Source organism: Homo sapiens, chromosome 8 (assembly GCF_000001405.40).
Source record: "Homo sapiens chromosome 8, GRCh38.p14 Primary Assembly".
In the NCBI taxonomy this organism is placed as follows: domain Eukaryota; kingdom Metazoa; phylum Chordata; class Mammalia; order Primates; family Hominidae; genus Homo; species Homo sapiens.
In genome coordinates, this window is record NC_000008.11 from 93,950,123 (window position 1) to 93,973,149 (window position 23,027).

The following is a 23,027-nucleotide window of genomic DNA, read 5'->3' on the forward strand; positions in this document are numbered from 1 at the left end:
CTTAACACTGTTTTAGCTGTGTTCCAGAGATTCTGCTACATTGTCTCTTTGTTCTCATTGGTTTCAAAGAACTTCTTTACTTCTGCCTTCATTTCATTATTTACCCAGTAGTTATTCAGGAGCAGGTTGTTAGTTTCCATGTAGTTGTGCAGTTTTGAATGAGTTTCCTAATCCTGAGTTCTAATTTGATTGCACTGTGGTCAGAGAGACTGTTAAGATTTCCGTTCTTTTGCATTTGCTGAGGAGTGTTTCACTTCCAATTGTGTGGTCAGTTTTAGAATAAGTACGCTGTGGTGCTGAGAAGAATGTATATTCTGTTGATTTGGGGTGGAGAGTTCTGTAGATGTCTATTAGGTCCGCTTGGTGCAGAGCTGAGTTCAAGTCCTGAATATCCTTGTTAATTTTCTGTCTCTTTGATCTGTCTACTCTTGATGGTGGGCTGTTAAAGTCTCCCATTATTATTGTGTGGGAGTCTAAGTCTCTTTGTAGGTCTCTAAGAACTTGTTTTACGAATCTGGGTGCTCCTGTATTGGGTGCATATATATTTAGGATAGTTAGCTCTTCTTGTTGCATTGATCCTTTTACCATTATGTAATGGCCTTCTTTGTCTCTTTGATCTTTGTTGGTTTAAAGTCTGTTTTATCAGAGACTAGCATTGCAACCCCTGCTTTTTTTTTGCTTTCCATTTACTTGGTAAATATTCCTCCATCCCATTATTTTGAGCCTATGTGTGTCTTTGCAGATGAGATGGGTCTCCTGAATACAGCACGCTGACAGGTCTTGACTCTTTATCCAATTTGCCAGTCTGTGTCTTTTAATTGGGGCATTTAGCCCATTTACATTTAAGGCTAATATTGTTTTGTATGAATTTGATTCTGTCATTATGATGCTAGCTGGTTACTTTGCACATTAGTTGATGCAGTTTCTTCATAGTGTTGATGGTCTTTATGTTTTGGTATGTTTTTGCAGTGGCTTCTACCAGTTTTTCCTTTCTGTATTTAGTGCTTCCTTCAGGAGCTCTTGTAAGGCAGGCTTGGTGATGACAAAATCCCTCAGCATTTGCTTGTCCGTAAAGGATTTTATTTCTCCTTCACTTATGAAGCTTAGTTTGGCTGGATATGAAAATCTGGGTTGAAAATTATTTTCTTTAAGAATGTTGAATATTGGCCCTCACTGTCTTCTGGCTTGTAGGGTTTCTGCAGAAAGATCCACTGTTAGTCTGACGGACTTCCCTTTGTGGGTAACCTGACCTTTCTCTCTGGCTGCCCTTAACATTTTTCCCTTCATTTCAACCTTGGTGAATCTGATGATTATGTGTCTTGGGGTTGATCTTGTTGAGGAGTATCTTAGTGGTGTTCTCTGTATTTTCTGAATTTGAATGTTGGCCTGTCTTGCTAGGTTGGAGAAGTTCTCCTGGATAATATCCTGAAGCGTGTTTTCCAGCTTGGTTCCATTCTCCCTATCACTTTCAGGCACACCAATCAATCATAGGTTTGGTCTTTTCACATAGTCCCATATTTCTTGGAGAAGTTCATTCCTTTTCATTTTTTTTCCTCTAATGTTGTCTTCATGCTTTATTTTATCAAGTTGATCTCAAGCTCTGATATCTTTTCTTCTGCTTGATTGATTTGGCTATTGATACTTGTGTATGCTTCACAAAGTTCTCGTGTTGTGTTTTTCAGCTCCTTCAGGTTATTTATGTTTTTCTCTAAACTGATTATTCTAGTTAGCAGTTCCTGTAACCTTTCATCAAAATTCTTAGCTTCCTTGCATTCGGTTAGAATATGCTCCTTTAGCTCAGAGGAGTTTGTTATTACCCACTTTCTGAAGCCTATTTCTGTGAGTTTGTCAAACTCATTCTCTGTCCAATTTTGTTCCCTTGCTGGCGAGGTGTTGTGATCCTTTGGAGGAGAAGAGGTATTCTGGTTTTTGGAATTTTCAGGATTTTTGTGCTAGTTTTTCCTCGTGTTCGCAGTTTTTTTTTTTTTTTTTGAAATGGAGTTTCGCTCTTGTCTAGGCTGGAGTGCAATGATGTGATCTCGGCTTGCCACAACCTCTGCCTCCCAGGTTCAAGTAATTCACCTGCCTCAGCCTCCCAAGTAGCTGGGATTACAGGTGCCCATCACTCTGCCCATCTAATTTTGTTGTATTTTTAGTAGAGATGGGGTTTCTCCATGTTGGTTGTTGGTCAGCCTGGTCTCGAACTCCTGACCTCAGGTGATCCGCCTGATTTGGCCTTCCAAACTGCTGGGATTACAGGCGTGAGCCACCACGCCTGGCCTGTCTTCATGGATTTATCTACCTTTGATCTTTGATGCTGATGACCTTCGGATGGGGTTTTGTGTGGGTATCCTTTTTGTTGATGTTGATGTTATTGCTTTCTGTTTGTTAGTTTTTCTTTTAACAGTCAGGCCTGTCTTCTGCAGGTCTGCTGGAGGTCCACTCCAGACCCTGTTTGCCTGGGTATCACCAGCAGAGGCTGCTGAACAGCAAAGATTGCTGCCTGCTCCTTCCACTGGAAGCTTTGTCCCAGAGGGGCACCTGACAGATGCCAGCCTGAGCTCTCCTGTATGAGGCATCTGTCGACCTCTGCTGGGAGATGTCTCCCAGTCAGGAGGCGCGGGGGTCAGGGACCCACTTGAGGATGCAGTCTGTCCCTTAGCAGAGCTCAAGCGCCGTGCTAGGAGATCCACTGCTCTCTTCAGAGCCAGCAGACAGGAACATTTAAGTTTGCTGAAGCTGTGCCCACAGCCACCCCTTCCCCAGGTGCTCTGTTCCAGGGATATGGGAATTTTATCTATAGGCCCCTGACAGGGGGTTCCGCCTTTCTTTCGAGATGTCTGGTCTAGAGAGGAGGAATCTAGAGAGGCAGTCTGGCTACAGTGGCTTTGGTGCACTGTGGTGGGTTCCGCCCAGTTGAACTTCCCAGCAGCTTTGTTTACATAGTGAGGGGAAAACTGCCTACTTAAGCCTCAGTAATGGCAGACGCCCCTCCCCCCACCAAGCTCCAGCTTCCCAGGTGGACTCCAGACTGCTGTGCTGGCATTGAGAATTTCAAGCCAGTGGATCTTAGCTCGCTGGGCTCCATGGGGGTGGGATCCACTGATCAAGACCACTTGGTTTCCTGGCTTCAGCCCCCTTTCCAGGGGAGTGAACAGTTCTGTCTCGCTTGGGTTTCGGGTGCCACTGGGGTACAAAAAAAACCTCCTGCAGCTAGCTCAGTGTCTGCCCAAATGGCCCCACAGTTTTGTGCTTAAAACCCAGGGCCCTGGTGGTGTAGGCACCCGAGGGAATCTCCTGGTCTGCAGGTTGTGAAAACCATGGGAAAAGTGTAGTATCTGGGCCAGATAGCACCATCCCTCATGGCACAATCCCTCAAGGCTTCCCTTGGCTAGGGGAGGGAGTTCCCCAACCCCTTGCACTTCCCCGATGAGGCAACGCCCCACCCTGCTTCTGCTTGCCCTCCATGGGCTGCACCCACTGTCTAACCAGTCCCAATGGGATGAGCCAGGTACCTCAGTTGGAAATGCAGAAATCACTGCCTTCTGCGTTGGTCTCACTGGGAGTGGCAGACTTGAGCTGTTCTTATTTGGTCATCTTGCCAGCACACCCCCCCGTTTTTTTTTTCTTTTGAGACAGAGTCTCGCTCTGTCACCCAGGCTGGAGTGCAGTGGTACAATCTCGGCTGCAACCTCCACCTCCTGAGTTCAAGTGATTCTCCTGCCTTGGCCTCTTGAGTTGCTGGGACTAAAGGTGCCCCCCACCACACCCAGCTAATTTTTTTTTTTTTTTTTTGAAACAGAGTCTCGCTCTGTCACCCAGGCTAGAGTGCAGTGGCATGATCTTGGCTCACTGCAACCTCTGCCTCCCGGGTTCAAGCAATTCTCCTGCCTCAGCCTCCTGAGTATATGAGACTAAAGGCACATGCCACCACACCCAGCTAATTTTTTGTATTTTTTGTAGAGACGGGGTTTCACTGTGTTAGCCAGGATGGTCCCGATCTCCTGACCTTGTCATCGCCCTCCTCGGCCTCCCAAAGTGCTGGGATTACAGGCGTGAGCCACCATGCCCGGCTAATTTTTGTATTTTTACAAAATAACTCTTTTACACAGGGTTTCACCATGTTGGCCAGCCTGGTCTCAAACTCCTGACCTCAAATGATCCACTCACCTCAGCCTCCCAAAATGTTGGGATTACAGGCATGATCCACTGCACCCGTCGTAACTGCAGCATTTTTAAGATATGAGATATACATGCACATCTGGTTTATTTGCTATGTGATCTGTATCTCTCTTTTGACTGCTACTTTAAAACTCTTTTGGAATTAAGCCCTTAGGGTACAGCTTTATATTCCTTATTACTATATTCTTGGAAAACTGCTTTGCATACAAATGCTTAATTTTAAATGGGTGATAATAAGTACGATGTATTCTGCTACCGTAATATGTAGATTATGAAGAGGTTGGCACATGATTGGGCTGGGGTGGTAAAGAAAGTACTTGAAATAGTCAAAGGGAAAGATTTCATTTTTCTCAATTTAACCTGCTCACAGAAGGGCAATAAGAGCCTCATTATCTCATTTAGACAAGACTGATGGAGTCACAGCCTGCATGGTCCAGTCTCAGGATGGCTCATATTGGAAGAAGCACTGCTCAAACAGGCGTTTCAGTTTTACTCAGAGCTCTAAAAATTTGAAAGGCTCTAAGTCATAATTCACGGTTAATATTTAAATCCTCTGCCTTGGCTGGGTGTGGTGGCTCACACTTGTAATCCCAGCACTTTGGGAGGCTGAGGTAGGCGGATCACCTGAGGTTGGGAGTTCGAGACCAGCCTCACCAACATGGTGAAACCCTGTCTGTACTAAAAATATAAAAATTAGCCAGGCATGGTGGCGCATGCCTGTAATCCCAGCTACTTGGGAGGCTGAGGCAGGAGAATCGCTTGAACCCAGGAGGTGGAGGTTGCAGTAAGCCGAGATAGTGCCATTGCACTCCAGCCCGGGTGACAGAGTGAGACTCATCTCAAAAAAAAAAAAAAAAAATCCTCTGCTAGAAACACTTCTGCAGCGCCTTGTAAATGCCAGTGTCTTGCCCTCTCCCACCCTCTCACCTCTGCTTCTCCTTTGGCTGTGTCCTCTCTAGTGCATCTGATCTGACATGAACACCCCTTCCCTCCCTTCTCTTCCACGTTTCTGCAGTTAGCAGCGTAGGTAATGGAGGAAGAGCGCAACACCCAAGTGATTTTTGTCCAGATGTATTTCAGTCACATTAAATTTCTGAGGTTTCAGATTTTATCTTACTGTTTGTGTGTGGTGTGCGTGTTTAAAAATTAGAGTTTGTAAAAGAATTCTTGTAAAAGTGTGCTATGTTCCTAGCAAGTTATCTTCTTTCTACGGACAGTGGCTGTACTTTCCTCGCCAACGCCCCCTCATGCTGTTCCTCCTCCGCATGTGAGTTTGATCATTGCTGCATTATGGTTTTCTCTAGCACGTTTTTTGGTAATGCATCCCTTTTTGAGAAAGAGGCCAGCCCTTCACCTCCCATGTCCAGCTCCCCAACCTGGTCTACTGGCAGCAACACAAAGACCCTCATGGAGGCACGGGGACAGCTGCTTCCTGACTTTGTTGTGGCTGCTCCAGGGCTTGTTCTGAGGTCACTGACTTTGTGGTTTTTTGTTTGTTTGTTTTGAGACGGAATCTCGGAATCTCGCTCTGTCGCCCAGGCTGGAGTGCAGTGGTGTGATCTCCGCTCACTGCAATCTCCGCCTCCCAGGTTCAAGCAATTCTCCTGTCTCAGCTTCCCGAGTAGCTGGGATTACAGGCGTGCGCGACCACGCCTGGCTAATTTTTGTATTCTTTTTCTTTTTTTGAGATGGAGTCTTGCTCTGTCACCCAGGCTGAAGTGTAGTGGTGTTGTCTCGGCTCACTGCAACCTCCACTTCCCGGGTTCCAGTGATTCTCCTGCCTCAGGCTCCCAGGTAGCTGGGATTTCAGGCTTGCATGACCATGCCCAGATAATTTTTGTATTTTTAGTAGAGAGGGGGTTTCACCATGTTGGCTAGGCTGGTCTCAAACTCCTAACCTCAGGTGATCCACCCGCCTCAGCCTCCCAAAGTGCTGGGATTTCAGGTGTGAGCCACCATGTCCAGCTGAGGTCACTGACTTTGAACATGGGGTGTCCTTTCTTTATATGTTGGTTTCTGTCTGGCACAGAGTAGGAACACAGTAAAGATGATCTGGCTCTGCATTTGTAGCCCGGAGGCAAAATTGCCATCCTTTTCTTTGTTGTATCAACAGCTCTCTTACAATGGCCGGGAAAGTAAGGAAGATGAAAGCTGCTTACTGTCACACAAGTTGGGTACAAAATTCCTATTTGGTCACTTTGGGAGGGAGTTCAAACCAAGTTCTCTGAGTCTGCTAACTTTGTTCTAAACCCAGTCTATTCTCCATTCAGGGTCACATTTGCCTCTGTCCCGAAGAGTAAGTCTGCCACCCTCTTGGCTCAACTAAATTTCTTTAGGTACTGGAGAAGTTTACCTTCTTCAGAAAGAAATGGTTTCCTTCCTTGCATGGCAAACTGGGCTCACTCTCCCTTTAAATACTAAGACATTGAGCCCCATGTTCATGAGAAGAGGTGGCCAATGCTAGAAGGTCTCTGCCAGATTCTGCCTCCTGCCTTTTAAAAATTTGGCTGTTGTTAAAACCCAGAAGGACACGAAGAGCGCTTCCCACTGTCTATCCATAAAAGACACTGCACTGCTTCATTAGCCCGTGGCCATCAAACATAAACATAGCCAACCACTCCGATGATATCACAAAGTCCCATGGCGGACTGGACTGGTGGAGAGCAATTCAGCACGGCATGCCATTTTTAAATACTGTGCTCTCAAAAATAAATATAGCCACTAAAGGGAAAACAGTATTAGGTTTAAGTCGTGAGATAAAAATGTCTGTTATGTAAGGTTGTAGTGTTCATGCTCAGCCCTTTTCTCTCAGGACTCCTTTCCCAGTTCTTTTTCACTTCAAAGGAAAGTACCGTTTAAGAAAGAGGAGGGTATGACCTCAGAAGAGAGAAGAAACAGCAACAACAGGGACCTCGGATCCTAGAGGTCTTCACAGGTGGGGTACAGGTGAATTTGTTGCCATTTAAAGGACTCTTTCTTCTTGGCAAATTTTCTCCTTTTTTTTCATTTTTATTACTCAAAAAAGTTTCGTATTTATTTAGCTTTCCGACTCTGTGCTTATGCCTTCAATACTTTCACAACGATTTTCTGCTCCTTGATAAGGAAAGCACGCTTGACCCTGTCACGAACACGTTTAGCACACATGGAACCACCATAGGCCCTGCTGACATGTTTCTTTGTTTTGGACAATCTCATAAGAACTTTAGGTCTTACAGCACGAACCCCTCGAAGTCGGCCTGGGTACACACCACATGCAGATTTTGGTGCTTTCCCAACCTTCTTGGTATAAAGGTGAACAATTCTATTACCAGGGGTTCAGGACAGCCTAGTTTTGTTAGAAGCTGTATTGTAGGAAAGCCTACGTCGCTATGCCAAATGCTGGACTATTCTGAGTGCCTGCAGACAATGTCCCCTGACAAATTTTCTTCTAAACAATGACTTCTGCAGAACTTGGACAGCTATAAAAGCCTCAATTGCTTGCGTTTGGCTAATCATTCACCATTTATTAAGTGTCCACATTGTACAAGGAACAGAGTTTAATTCTAAAATAAGCTTGAAACACATGACTAAAACTTCAATTCCTAGACAAATATAACCAAATTGCACAACTTGCTACATGTTATCTGATTTACCGATTGGACCATATTTACTTTGAGTGGATGAGGCTTAATAGAAAACAGCTTGATCTTCTCCCTTCCCTATCCCCCAGGTTCCCTGGCAGGGACTGGAAACAGGGGGAAAGGAAGAGGATGCCAATTTAGAGCTGAGTCGTGTACAATGCTTAGGCGTGTACTTTTGCTTGTCACCTTACAAGTTTCTGGTCAGTTCCCAAACCCATTCCCTATTCAGTGATTCCAAAGCTGCATCACATTCCCAAGCATCTTGAAAGTCTTCCTCTCCCATTGCCCACCTGTTCTCAACAGATGGCTTGTCGCATACTGAGAATGTTGAGGCTATCAGCTGAGAACTTGTTTACTTTCCTCCTTCCCAGCCAACAGATTGACCTGCTTTCAACCTCCCTCCTTCTCTGTGGTTTTAAGGCTCATCTCTCTACCAGTCTTATTGATCAGATCACCTTTCAGCTTCTCTGGACTTAAATCACATCTTAAGATGGAGATTAGATTCTTTAGTCAGCCCATAGGCAAGAGTCACATATAATCAGAATTACTCAGAAGTTTTCTTAAGTCACCCATAACAGTAGATCAAACATAGCTTTAGGAATACAATACTGTAAAGTAATATGCAGGTGTGAGTATGTCAAGTAGATAGTATTTATAGGTGTAAGGTATATATACTATATAATGTATACTATAATATATAGCATACAATTCCAAGGAGGATTATATTGAGAAAATAAAACAAGCTAGCTTTTTGTAACACTTGAGCAAATTTATAAATATTCCTTTTTTTGTTTTTTGTTTTTTTTTTTGAGATGGAGTCTCACTCTGTTGCCCAGGCTGGAGTGCAGTGGCCCCATCTCAGCTCATTACAACCTCTGCCTCCTGGTCGGTTCAAGCGATTCTCATGCCTCAGGCTCCTGAGTAGCTGGGACTACAGGCACACACCACCACGCCCGCTACTTTTTGGATTTTTTGACAGAGATGGGGTTTCAACATGTTGTCCAGGCTGAGAATATTCTTATTTCCCATTTGGTGTCATCGCCTAAGTTTTTGTGGATAACTTTGTCAGTTTCTCCGTTGTCTTTAGTTAGTTCTTCAGTTTCTTTCACAAGATTGTAGTAAAACCTTCACTACCCACTAGTATGAACAATGCATTTCTCTTATTTGTCTATGGTTGGGAAACCCCTAAATCATCCATACCTTCTTCGGTAGGTTTCACTAAAAGTCCTCTCTGTCTGCCTGTAGGCAACCTCATTGAGGGCAATTGCCCATTGAATTTCCAGCATTATTTACACAGTTCTTTCTCTCTTTCTCTCTATCTCCCTCCTGCTTCATTAGATGATAAGACTTGGCTACATCTAAGAGAAATCCAAAATAGCAGTGGCTTATATAAGAGATAACTTTATTTTTTTTATCTTATAAAACAAATCCAGAATTAGGTGGTGCAGAGCTGTTTCGGTGGCTCCACGGTCACCAGGGACATGGTCTCCTTCTCCTTTTCTGTTCTGCCATCCTGGTTTGTGGCTTCCATCCTCGTGGCTACTGAAGCTCCAGCCACTGTGTCTACATTCCAGTCAGCAGGAGGAAGGAAGGTGGTGTTCAGGAAAATTACCCGAAACTTGGAAATAATGCAAAAGGATGACTTCATATCCTGCCAATGTCATACTAAAGCATTGTCCAGTTCCCCTAATGGTCATCTCACTCTTGGGAAATGAACTACTCTTTAGGTACTGTTGATTAGAGTTCAGACTGGAGAGTTAGATGTTAACTTAGAAGAATTGATTAGATGCAGATGAAAACCTGCAGAGATGGTTTTCTAACCTTGCAGAACATTTGTCACTTTTGCATCTAACTTAGCATTGTTATTTCAGAGTTTTTGGTGTTTTTTGTTTGTTTGTTTCTACTGAACCTGCTTTGTCATCTTACTGGCTTCCCTCATCAATGATTAATTATACTTTGGGATGTGCTCAGATAATGTGTGGAAATTATATTTTTAATATTTGTATGTTTTGACAGTAGGAAAGACAAAGGGGCTTTCTTCAAGTCAGTAATTTCCCTAAATGTCTACCTAAAATGTCTGCTTGTAACTTATTGGCCAGAACTTAGTCACAAGGCTACACATAGCTACAAAAGAGGCTGGGGAAGTAGTCTTCTAGCTAGGTGCATTGAAATAAGGGCTCTCTTCCTAAGGAAGGGAGGCAGAGATCAGACCGTAGGGAATAACTAATAGTCTTTGCACAAGGACATATATCAGTTGATACTGCCTATTTTACCTGTATTTCTGCCTTTCCCTCTATGTTTACTTCTTTCTAGCAGCCTAAAAGCATAACAGAGAATACCAACAGTTTTAACACCTTGGACCTGAATCTTCCTCCAGCTATCAGGAGAACATTCTTTTTCCCCAATGGAGGTCCTATAAAGAACTTGGCTCTGCTCTCTCACCTCCTCCTCCTTCTTCACCCACTTTAAGCAGGCTTCTGTTACTCTCATCCACTAAACCTGCTCTGCTAGGCCACAGCTGATCTCCTAAACATCACGCTCAAATCAACTGCATCTTGCACAAAGCAAATATTTAATAAATGATTACTGAATTATTCAATATGTTTGCTCTGTTTTCTTCTTTCTTAAGACATTACTTTCTTTTCTTCTCAATTGCAAAATTAATATTTTAGTTTCATTATGGGCTAACTAGGTTCTTTTGACACATTCATGAAAATCTAATTCTTAGATAACACTTTGGTTCTGTGCAAAAATGCATTCCAACTTTCAAACGATTGGCCTAACAGTACACTTTTGGAAATTTTTGACCTTTTTGTAGGCCCAGGTCTGTTTATTCATTTTCCCCCTCCATTGAATAGGAAAAAGAAATTGGCTTTTTGTTGCTAATAAAAGCAAATTCTACTTGGGTTGTTTCCAAAGCCCAACAGCAAGTGGCAAGGAATCCCCAAGGGAAAAACACCAGTAAGATTCTTTCATAATGTGTTTTCCTCTAATCCCCTTCCTGATCCTTTCTCACCAAATGGATCCAGCTATTTTCAAGTTCAATTTTTGCTCTAAACTAGAGAACATAGTGTCCTAAATTGATACTTCACCCTCTATAAGCCTCCACCTCTTGGCCTGCTTTATTTATCAGGCAGGCTCCTCCAGGGATTTGGGGTTGGGCCTGAGAAGCCCAGGTGGTTGGCAATTGCCAGCAGGATGTAGTTATACTGCCCCAATGTGGCAGTTTTCATTCTATTTCAAATGCTGCTTTTTTTCTCTCATGCTTCTTCGAGTACATCGTAGGACATTAAGGGATGGTGGTGGCTTTGGGGGGACCCACGATGCTTCTGTCAGTTCTTCCTCTCAGGTTTTGGGGGCTACAAGTGAAGATAAGAATGAAAGCTTGGAATTTTAATAGACAGCTCCCATCTGCCATATGTAAAGAATGCTTCTAGCAGGGAGAAGGCAAACCTCAAGGGAAGAGGTTGGTCAGTTTTTAATCAGCTGGGTCTCGTCTAATCTTGCCAAGCTCTAAGCAGAGATTGCAAATTTTGGATCCATAAGCTAAATCCAGCCTCAGACATGCTATGTTTCGCTGACACGGATGGTACTTTTTGTTTTAATTTTTAAAAGGCAGCATTTAAAAGGAAGATTTTATATACCAGTCCAGACTTCTGCCATCTTGACATTGCATTCCTGAGTTGCAGCAATTGGCTGAAACTGAGTAGCTGTTGTTTCCTCCAGGTGGGGTTTGCCCTCTGCAATTTTGTCACAGACTTCACTTCCCCCTGTGACACATCCAGCTGCTTTCCCCATTTAATATCTGCTGCACCTCTGCTGGCGTGTGAGTTTTGGATCCCTATTGCAAACAGCTGGGGATGGGGAGAGGTATCAGGGCAGACTTCACAGAGGAGGGGAATTAAGCTGATCCTTGAAAACTGATAGGAATTTTCTTGGTAAAATAAAAAGGCATGGAACCTCTAGGAAAGCAGACAGGTAGAGAAAAGACACAGTTATGAAGATTTTTGGGAAGGATCAAATCGAACCTTAAGAAAGGCCAGAGTAATCTTTCAGCACGACCTTGGATTTCAACAGACTTTAGTTCCAATTCAGGCTCTACCACATACTTTCAGTATGACCTTGAGTAAATTATTTAATTTCTTTGAGCCTCAACGTATTCATCTGTATAGTAGACATAATAGCTCTATCATATGATTGTGACCACAAAATGAGGTAACATTTTAAAAAATTTATTGCAGTATAATATACCCAAAAGTGCACATATCAAAGATGTGCAGCTCAGTGAATTTTAACAAAGTGAACACGTTCATGTCACCAGCACCCAGGTCAAGAAACAGACAATATCAGCATTTCTTTATTTTTTTTTGAGACAGAGTCTCACTTTGTCACCCAGGCTGGAGTACAGTGGTGCTATCTCAGCTCCCCACAACCTCCGCCTCCTGGGTTCAAGCAATTTTCCTGCCTCAGCCTCCCAAGTAGCTGGGATTACAGGTGCCTGCCACTGTGCCGGGCTAATTTTTGTATTTTTAGTACAGATGGGGTTTCACCATCTTGGTCAGGCTGGTCTTGAAATCCTGACCTCTTGAGCCACCCACCTTGGCCTCCCAAAGTGTTGGGATTACAGGCATGAGCCACCGCGCCCGGCCTATTATGATTTTAATTTGTAAGAAAAGCGGCTTAACTGGATCATAGCTCTGCAGGCTATACAGGAAACGTGGTGGCATCTGCTTGTGGCGAGGCCTCAGGGAGCTTTTACTAATGGTGGAAGGCAAAGCAGGAGCAACTTTAATTTTTTTTATTTCAGCTTTTAGGTTCAGGGGTACATGTGCAAGTTTGTTACATGGGTAAACTGTGTGATACTGAGGTTTGGGGTGTGAATGATCCTGTCACCCTGGTAGTGAGCATTGTACCTAATAGGTATTAATAGTTTTTCAACCCTTGCTTCCCTTCCTCTTTCCCCTCTCTGGTAGTCCCCAGTGTCTATTTTTCCCATCCTTATATCCATGTATACTCAGTGTTCAGCTACCACTTATAAGTGAGAACATGTGATACTGGGTTTTCTGTTCCTGCATTAATTCACTTATGATGATGGCCTCCAGCTGCATCCATGTTGCTGCAAGGGACATGATTTTGTTCTTTTCTGTGGCTGTGTAATATTCCATGGTGTATATGTACCACATTTTCTTTATCTAGTCCACCATTGATGGGCATCTAGGTTGATTCCATGTCATTGCCATTGTGAATAGTGCTGTGATGAACATACAAGTGCATGTGTCTTTGGTAGAGTGATTTATTTGCCATTAGGTATGTACCCAGTAATGGGATTGCTGGGTTGAATGGTTGTTCTGTCTTAAGTTACTTGAGAAATCTCAAAACTGCTTTTCACAGTGGCTGAGTGGATTTACATTCCTACCAAGAATGTATAAGCATTCTCTTTTCTCTGCAACCTTGCCCACATCTGTTATTTTTTGACTTTTTAATAACAGCCATTCTGACTGGTATGAGATGTCACACTATGTTTTTGATTAACATTTCTCTAGTGATGCTGAGCATTTTTTCGTATGTTTGTTAGCCACATGTATGTCTTCTGAGAAGTGTGTGTGTCCTTCGCCCACTCTTAAAGCAGGTTGTTTGTGTTTTGCTTGTTGAATTATTTAAATTCCTTTTAGATTCTGCATATTAGTTTGTGAATATTTTCTCCCATTCTGTAGGTTGTCTGTTCATTCTGTTGATAGTTTCTTTTGCTATGCAGAAGCTCTTTAGCTTAATTAGGTCCCACCTGTTAATTTTTTTGTTGCAATTGCTTTTGAGGACTTAATCATAAATTCTTTGCCAAGGTTGATGTCTAGAATGATATTTCCTAGGTTTTATTCTAGAATTTTTATAGTTTTATGTCTTTTTTTTCTTTTTTTTAAATTATACTTTAAGTTCTAGGATACGTGTGCACAACGTGCAGTTTTGATACATAGGTATACATATGCCAGGTTGGTTTGCTGCACCCATCAACTCGTCATTTACATTGGGTATTTCTCCTAATGCTATCCCTCCCCCAGCACCCCCACCCCCTGACAGGCCCCAGTGTGTGATGTTCCCCACCCTGTGTCCAAGTGATCTCGTTGTTCAATTCCCACCTATGAGTGGGAACATGTCGTGTTTGGTTTTCTGTCCTTGTGATGGTTTGCTGAGAATGATGGTTTCCAGCTTCATCCATGTCCCTGCAAAGGACATGAACTCATCCTTTTTTATGGCTGCATAGTATTCCATGGTGTATATGTGCCACATTTTCTTAATGCAGTCTATCATTGATGGATATTTGGGTTGGTTCCAAGTCTTTGATATTGTGAATAGTGCTGCAATAAACATGAGTGTGCATGTATCTTTATAGTAGCATGATTTATAATCCTTTGGGTATATACCCAGTAATGGGATGGCTGGGTCAAATGGTATTTCTAGTTCTAGATCCTTGAAGAATCACCACACTGTCTTCCACAATGGTTGAACTAGTTTACACTCCCACCAACAGTGTAAAAGTGTTCCTATTTCTCCACATCCTCTCCAGCATCTGTTGTTTACATTTTAAAGATTGCCATTCTAACTGGCACGAGATGATATCTCATTGTGATTTTGATTTGCATTTCTCTGATGGCCAGTGATGATGAGCTTTTTTTCATGTGTCTGTTGGCTGCATAAATGTCTTCTGTTGAGAAGTGTCTGTTCATATCCTTTGCCCACTTTTTGATGGGATTGTTTTTTTTTTCTTGTAAATTTGTTTGAGTTCTTTGTAGATTCTGGATATTAGCCCTTTGTCAGATGGGTAGATTGTAAAAATTTTCTCCCATTCTGTGGGTTGCCTGTTCACACTGATGGTAGTTTCTTTTGCTGTGCAGAAGCTCTTTAGTTTAATTAGATCCCATTTGTCTATTTTGGCTTTTGTTGCCATTGCTTTTGGTGTTTTGGACATGAAGTCCTTGCCCATGCCTATGTCCTGAATGGTATTGCCTAGGTTTTCTTCTAGGGTGTTTATAGTTTTAGGTCTAACATTTAAGTCTTTAATCCATCTTGAATTAATTTTTGTATAAGGTGTAAGGAAGGGATCCAGTTTCAGCTTTCTACATATGGCTAGCCAGTTTTCCTAGCACCATTTATTAAATAGGGAATCCTTTCCCCATTTTTGTTTTTGTCAGGTTTGTCAAAGATCAGATGGTTATAGATGTGTCGTGTTATTTCTGAGGCCTCTCTTGTGTTCTATTGGTCTCTCTCTCTCTGTTTTGGTACCAGTACCATGCTGTTTTGATTACTGTAGCCTTGTAGAATAGTTTTAAGTCAGGCAGCGTGATGCCTCCAACTTTGCTCTTTTTGCTTAGGATTGTCTTGGCAATGTGGGCTCTTTTTTAGTTCCATATGAACATTAACGTAGTTTTTTCCAGTTCTGTGAAGAAAGTCTTTGGTAGCTTGATGGGAATGGCATTGAATCTATAAATTACCTTGGGCAGTATGGCCATTTTCATGACATTGATTCTTCTTATCCATGAGCATGAAATGTTCTTCCATTTGTTTGTGTCATTGAGCAGTGGTTTGTAGTTCTCCTTGAAGAGGTCCTTCACATCCCTTGTAAGTTGGATTCCTATGTATTTTATTCTCTTTGTAGCAATTGTGAATGGTAGTTCACTCATGATTTGGCTCTTTGTTTGTCTGTTATTGGTGTATAGGAGTGCTTTTGATTTTTGCACATTGATTTCGTATCCTGAGACTTTGCTGAAGTTGCTTATCAGCTTAAGGAGATTTGGGGCTGAGACAATGGGATTTTCTAAATATACAATCATGTCATCTGCAAACAGGGACGATTTGACTTCCTCTTTTCCTAATTGAATACCCTTTATTTCTTTCTCCTGCCTGATTGTCCTGGCCAAAACTTCCAACACTATGTTGAATAGGAATGGTGAGAGAGGGTATCCCTGTCTTGTGCCAGTTTTCAAAGGGAATGCTTCCAGTTTTTGCTCATTCAGTATGATATTGGCTGTGGGTTTGTCATAAATAGCTCTTATTATTTTGAGATATGTTCCATCAATACCTAGTTTATTGAGAGTTTTTAGCATGAAGGGCTGCTAAATTTTGTCAAAGGTCTTTTCTGCATCTATTGAGATAATCATGGGTTTTTTGTTGTTGGTTCTGTTTATGTGATGGATTACGTTTATTGATTTGCGTATGTTGAAGCAGCCTTGTATCCCAGGGATGAAGCTGACCTGATTGTGGTGGATAAGCTTTTTGATGTGCTGCTGGATTCAGTTTGCCAGTATTTTATTGAGGATTTTCGCATAGATGTTCATCAGGGATATTGAACAACAAAAAAAATTCTCTTTTTTGTTGTTGTTGTGTCTCTGCCAGGCTTTGGTATCAGGATGATGTTGGCCTCATAAAATGAGTTAGGGAGGATTCCCTCTTTTTCTGTTGATTGGAATAGTTTCAGAAGGAATGGTACCAGCTCCTCTTTGTACCTGTGGTAGAATTCAACTGTGAATCCATCTGGTCCTGGACTATTTTTGGTTGGTAGGCTATTAATTATTGCCTCAATTTCAGAGCCTGTTATTGGTCTATTCAGATATTCAACTTCTTCCTGGTTCAGTCTTGGGAGGGTGTATGTGTCCAGGAATTTATCCATTTCTTCTTGATTTTCTAGTTTATTTGCATAGAGGTGTTTATAGTATTCTGTGATGGTAATTTGTATTTCTGTGGAATCAGTGGTCATATCCCCTTTATCATTTTTTATTGCATCTATTTGATTCTTCTCTCTTTTCTTCTTTATTAGTCTTGCTAGTGGCCTATCAATTTTGTTGATCTTTTCAAAAAACCAGCTCCTGGATTCATTGATTTTTTTTGAAGGGTTTTTTGTGTCTCTATCTCTTTCAGTTCTGCTCTGATCTTAGTTATTTCTTGCCTTCTGTTAGCTTTTGAATGTGTTTGCTCTTTCTTCTCTAGTTCTTTTAATTGTAATGTTAGGGTGTCAATTTTACATCTTTCCTGCTTTCTCTTGTGGGCATTTAGTGCTATAAATTTCCCTCCACACATGGCTTTAAATGTGTCCCAGAGATTCTGGTAGGTTGTGTCTTTGTTCTCACTGGTTTCCAAGAACATCTTTATTTCTGCCTTCATTTCGTTATTTACCCAGTAGTCATTCAGGAGCAGGTTGTTCAGTTTCCATGTTGTTGTGTGGTTTTGAGTGAGTTTCTTAATCCTGAGTTCTAATTTGATTGCACTGTGGTCTGAGAGACAGTTTGTTGTCATTTCTGTTCTTTTACATTTGCCTAGGAGTGCTTTACTTCCAATTATGTGGTCAATTTTAGAATAAGTGTGATGTGCTGCTGAGAAGAATGTATATTCTGTTGATTTGGGGTGGAGAGTTCTGTAGATTTCTATTAGGTCCGCTTGGTGCAGAGCTGAGTTCAAGTCCTGGATATCCTTGTTAACCTTCTATCTCATTGATCTGTCTAATGTTGACAGCGGATGTTAAAGTCTCCCATTATTATTGTGTGGGAGTCTAAGTCTCTTTGTAGGTCTCTAAGGACTTGCTTTATGAATTTGGATGCTCCTGTGTTGGGTCCATATATATTTAGGATAGTTAGCTGTTTTTGTTGAATTGATCCGTTTACCGTTATGTAATGCCCTTCTTTGTCTCCTTGATCTTTGTTGGTTTAAAGTCTGTTTTATGAGAGACTAGCATTGCAACCCCTGCTTTTTTTTGCTTTCCATTTGCTTGGTAGATCTTCCTCCATCCTTTTATTTTGAGCCTATGTGTTTCTCTGCACGTGAGATGGGTCTCCCAACAGCACACTGATGGGTCTTGACTCTTTATCCAATTTGCCAGTCTGTGTCTTTTAATTGGGGCATTTAGCCCATTTACATTTAAGGTTAATATTGTTATGTGTGAATTTGATCCTGTCATTATGATGTTAGCTGGTTATTTTGCCTGTTAATTGATATAGTTTCTTCCTAGCATCGATGGTCTTTACAATTTGGCATGTTTTTGCAGTGGCTGGTACTGATTGTTCCTTTCCATGTTTAGTGCTTCCTTCAAGAGCTCTTGTAAGGCAGGCCTGGTGGTGACAAAATCTCTCAGCATTTGCTTGTCTGTAAAGGATTTTATTTCTCCTTCACTTATGAAGCTCAGTTTGGCTAGATATGAAATTCTGGGTTGAAAATTCTTTTCTTTAAGAATGTTGAATATTGGCCCCCACTGTCTTCTGGCTTGTAGGGTTTCTGTAGAGAGATCCACTGTTAGTCTGATGGGCTTCCCTTTGTAGGTAACTCGACCTTTCTCTCTGGCTGCCCTTAACATTTTTTCCTTCATTTCAACCTTGGTGAATCTGACAATTTCTTGAGGAATATCTTAGTGGTGTTCTCTGTATTTCCTGAATTTGAATGTTGGCCTGCCTTTCTAGGTTGGGGAAGTTATCCTGGATAATATCCTAAAGAGTGTTTCCCAACTTGGTTCCATTTTCCCCATCACTTTCAGGTACACCAATCAAATGTAGATTTGGTCTTTTCACATAGTCCCATATTTCTTGGAGGCTTTGTTCATTTCTTTTTACTCTTTTTTCTCTAACCTTGTCTTTTTGCTTTATTTCATTAATTTGATCTTCAGTCACTGATACCCTTTCTTCCACTTGACCGAATCAGCTATTGAAGCTTGTGCATGCATCACGAAGTTCTCGTGCCATGGTTTTCAGCTCCATCAGGTCATTTAAGGTCTTCTCTACACTGTTTATTCTAGTTAGCCATTCATCTAACCTTTTTTCAAGGTTTTTAGCTTCCTTGCTATGGGTTCAAACATGCTCCTTTAGCTCGGAGAAGTTTATTACTACTGACCTTCTGAAGCCTACTTCTGTCAACTCATCAAAGTCATTCTCCATCCAGCTTTGTTTTGTTGCTGGCAAGGAGCTGCAATCCTTTGGAGGAGAGGAGGTGCTCTGATTTTTACAATTTTCGGCTTTTCTGCTCTGGTTTCTTCCCATCTTTTTGTTTTTGTCTACCTTTGGTCTTTGATGTTGGTGACCTACAGGTGGGGTTTTGGTGTAGATGTCCTTTTTGTTGATGTTGATGCTATTCCTCTCTGTTTGTTAGTTTTCCTTTGAATAGTCGTGTCCCTCAGCTGCAGGTCTGTTGGAGTTTGCTGGAGGTCCACTCCAGAACCTGTTTGCCTGAGTATCACCAGCAGAGGCTGCAGAACAGCAAATATTGCAGAACAGCAAATACTGCTGCCTGATCCTTCCTCTGGAAGCTTCGTCCCAGAGGGGCACCTGCCTATATGAGGTGTCTGTCGGCCCCTACTGGGAGGTGTCTCCCAGTTAGGCTACATGGGGGTCAGAGACCCACTTAAGGAGGCAGTCTCTCCATTCTCAGAACTCAAATGCCATGTTGGGAGAACCACTGCTCTCTTCAGAGCTGTCAGACAGGGACGTTTAAGTCTGTAGAAGTTGTCTGCTGCCTTTTGTACAGCTAAGCCCTGCCCACTGAGATGGAGTCTAGATGCAGTAGGCCTTGCTGATCTGCGGTGGGCTCCGCCCTGTTCAAGCTTCCTGGCTGCTTTGTTTACATACTCAAGCCTCAGCAATGGTGGACGCCCCTCCTCCCACCAGCTCGTGCCTTGCAGGTCAATCTCAGACTGCTGTGCTAGCAGTGAGCAAGGCTCTGTGGGTGTGGGACCCACTCAGGCAGACATGGGAGAGAATCTCCTTGTCTGCCAGTTGTTAAGACCTTGGGAAAAGTGCAGTATTTAGGTGGGAGTGTCCCATTTTTCCAGGTACAGTCTGTCACAGCTTCCCTTGGATAGGAAAGGAAAGTCCCCTAACCCCTTGTGCTTCCCAGATGAGGTGAAGCCCTGCCCTGCTTCAGCTCACCCTCCGTGGGTTGCACCTACTGTCCAACTTGTCCCAGTGAGATGAACCAGGTACCTCAGTTGGAAATGCAGATATCACCCGTCTTCTGTGTTGATCACACTGGGAGCTGCAGACTGGAGCTGTTCCTATTCGGCCATCTTGGAACAGATCTCTAGTTTTATGTCTTACATTTAAGTCTTTAATCTATCTCGGGTTAATTTTTGTATATGGTGAAAGGTAGGGGTCCAGTTTCATTCCTCTATGTTTGGCTAGCCAGTTATGCCAGCACAATTTATTGAATAGAAAGGCCTTTCCCCATTGCTTGTCAACTTTGTTAAAGCAGATCATTTATTTTCATTGCCATATAGTATTCCATTGGGTGAATATCCTACCATTTATTTATCCAGTCTTGATTAATGGGCATTTGGATAATTTTCCATTTTTGCTTTTTTTTTTTGCCTTCAAGCATCTGTTTAACAAAGCACATCTTGCACCGCCCTTAATCCATTTAACCCTGAGTGGACACAGCACATGTTTCAGAGAGCAGGGGGTTGGGGGTAAGGTTATAGATTAACAGCATCCCAAGGCAGAAGAATTTTTCTTAGTACAGAACAAAATGGAGTCTCCCATGTCTACTTCTTTCTACACAGACACAGTAACAATCTGATCTCTCTTTCTTTTCCCCACATTTCCCCCTTTTCTATTCGACAAAACTGCCATCGTCATCATGGCCCGTTCTCAATGAGCTGTTGGGTACACCTCCCAGACGGGGTGGCGGCCAGGCAGAGGGGCTCCTCACTTCCCAGATGGGGTGGCTGGGCAGAGGTGCCCCCCACCTCCGAGATGGGGCAGTGGCCGGGCGGGGGCTGCCCCCCACCTCCCTCCTGGACAGGGCGGCTGGCCGGGCGGGGGCTGTGCCCCACCTCCTGGACGGGGCGGCTGCTGGGTGGAGGGGCTCCTCACTTCCCAGACGGGGCGGCTGCTGGGTGGAGGGGCTCCTCACTTCTCAGACGGGGCGGCTGGGCAGAGACACTCCTCACCTCCCTGATGGAGTGGCGGTCGGGCAGAGACACTCCTCAGTTCCCAGACGGGGTCGCGGCCGGGCAGAGGCGCTCCTCACATCCCAGATGGGGCGGTGGGGCAGAGGCGCTCCCCACATCTCAGACGATGGGCGGCTGGGCAGAAACACTCCTCACTTCCCAGACGGGGTGGCGGCCGGGCAGAGGCTGCAGTCTCGGCACTTTGGGAGGCCAAGGCAGGCAGCTGGGAGGTGGAGGTTGTAGCGAGCCGAGATCACGCCACTGCACTCCAGCCTGGGCAACATTCAGCACTGAGTGAGAGAGACTCCGTCTGCAATCCCGGCACCTTGGGAGGCCGAGACAGGCAGATCACTCGCGGTCAGGAGCTGGAGACCAGCCCAGCCAACACTGCGAAACCCCATCTCCACCAAAAAAATGCAAAAACTAGTCAGTTGTGGCTGCGCACGCCTGCAATCCCAGGCACCCTGCAGGCTGAGGCAGGAGAATCAGGCAGGGAGGTTGCAGTGAGCCGAGATGGCGGCAGTACAGTCCAGCCTCGGCTTTCACAACTTTGGTGGCATCAGAGGGAGACCGGGGAGAGGGAGAGGGAGAGGGGGAGGGGGAGGGGGCCCATTTTTGCTTTTAAGAATAGTACATGACTGGATTGTAGTGGCTCATGCCTGTAATCTCAGCACTTTGGGAGGCCGAGGCAGGCAGGTCGCTTGAGTCCAGGAGTTCACGACCAGTGTGGGCAACTTAAGCGAGACCTTATCTCTATTATAACAAAGTTTTTAATTAAAAAAAGAGAATAGTACAATTATGAAAATTTTAGTACACGTCTTTTGGTGAATATACTTTTGCATTTCTGTTAAGTATACACCTAGAAGTGGAATTAGTGGGTCATATGTTCATGTATGGTAGAAACTGCCAGTTTTCCAAAGCGGTTAGTAACTAATTTTTTGTTTTGTTTTTGTTTTTTTTTGAGACAGAGCTTTGCTCTGTCTCCCAGGCTGGAGTGCAGTGGTGCGATCTTGGCTTACTGCAGCCTCCGACTCCTGAGCTCAAATGATTCTCTTGCCTCAGCCTCTCAAGTAGCTGGGATTGCAGGCGCCTACCACCACGCCTGGCTAATTTTTGTATTTTTAGTAGAGACGGGGTTTCATCATGTTGGCCAGGCTGTTTTTGAACTCCTGACCTCAAATGATCTGCTCACCTTGGCCTCCCAAAGTGCTGGGATTACAGGCATGAGCCACTGCACCCAGTTGTAACTAATTTATACTTTCAACAATAGTCTCAGAGAGTTATGACTGCCCTCTCTCTAATAGTTTCCTCTCTAATAGTTGGTACTTTCATTTTCATTTTTGCCATTCTGATGGATGTGGTTTTAAAATCAATTTCTTTAATGGCTAAGGAAAGCAAGCACTTTCTCATATGTTCATTGAGCATCTGAATATTTTTTTGTGACATGTTACTTAAAATCTTTTGCTCGCTTTTAAAAATTTGGTCACCTGTGTTTTTGTGTGCATTTCTAAAGTTTGACATTTCATGATAGACAATCAAGGAGCATTATAAAAGAAAGGAATGTTATGACAGTTTAATTCAAGAGAAGGATGTGGGAGTATGTGATGGTGGATGAAAAATAAAGCTCCCGGCCAGGTGTGGTGGCTCATGCCTGTAATCCCAGCACTTTCGGAGGCTGAGGCAGGCGGATTACCTGAGATCAGGAGTTCCAGAGCAGCCTGACGAACATGACGAAAACCTGTTTCTACTAAAAATACAAAAATTAGCTGGGCATGGTGGTGGGCGCCTGTAATCCCAGCTACTTAGGAGGCTGAGGCAGGAGAATCGCTTGAACCTGGGAGGCAGAGGTTGCAGTGAGCTGAGATTGTGCCACTGCACTCCAGCCTGGGCGACACGAATGGACAAAACAAACAAACAAAAAAACAAAAAAAAACCTCCCCAGCCTTTGATGTTGTCCCCAGGTCCTAGAAGAGAGACAGATTTTAGGAAGAGAGGAGGATGGCACCCCCTTTTGCAAAACATCTCTAGAGTGGTAGGACCTTGGAGAAAAGTAGCTGTGGGTGACAGACTGGTCCACATACCAAGAGCTGCGATCCTGGGGCCCATGCAAGGAGAAGGAAGTTTCACCTCAAAGAAATGGGTTTGCTGACAACCCTGTGGCCCTTTGAAGGACTGTGACTGATAGGGCAACTCTGGGACAACAGGGACCAGAAGTGCGGGATAGATAGAAGAAACCTGGGCTGGAAAATGTGCCTTGTGTATCAAGGAACAACTATGGCAAATGCAGCAGCAACTGAATAAATCCAGAT

General features: G+C 43.4%; 1 pseudogene, besides 2 other annotated features; it reads right to left on the minus strand.

Moving 5' to 3' along the window:
- Positions 7,183–7,598, minus strand: RPL34P18 (ribosomal protein L34 pseudogene 18; annotated as a pseudogene).
- Positions 19,348–19,417: a silencer, noted in NCBI's record as "silent region_19363". NCBI's record gives its function as "represses an Ori minimal core promoter by ATAC-STARR-seq in GM12878 lymphoblastoid cells {active_cell/tissue: GM12878}" and the evidence as "EXISTENCE:reporter gene assay evidence [ECO:0000049][PMID:35858748]".
- Positions 20,045–20,546: an enhancer, noted in NCBI's record as "H3K27ac hESC enhancer chr8:94982395-94982896 (GRCh37/hg19 assembly coordinates)". NCBI's record gives its function as "activates a minimal SCP1, AML or CMV promoter by ChIP-STARR-seq in primed H9 embryonic stem cells {active_cell/tissue: H9 hESC(primed)}" and the evidence as "EXISTENCE:reporter gene assay evidence [ECO:0000049][PMID:30033119]".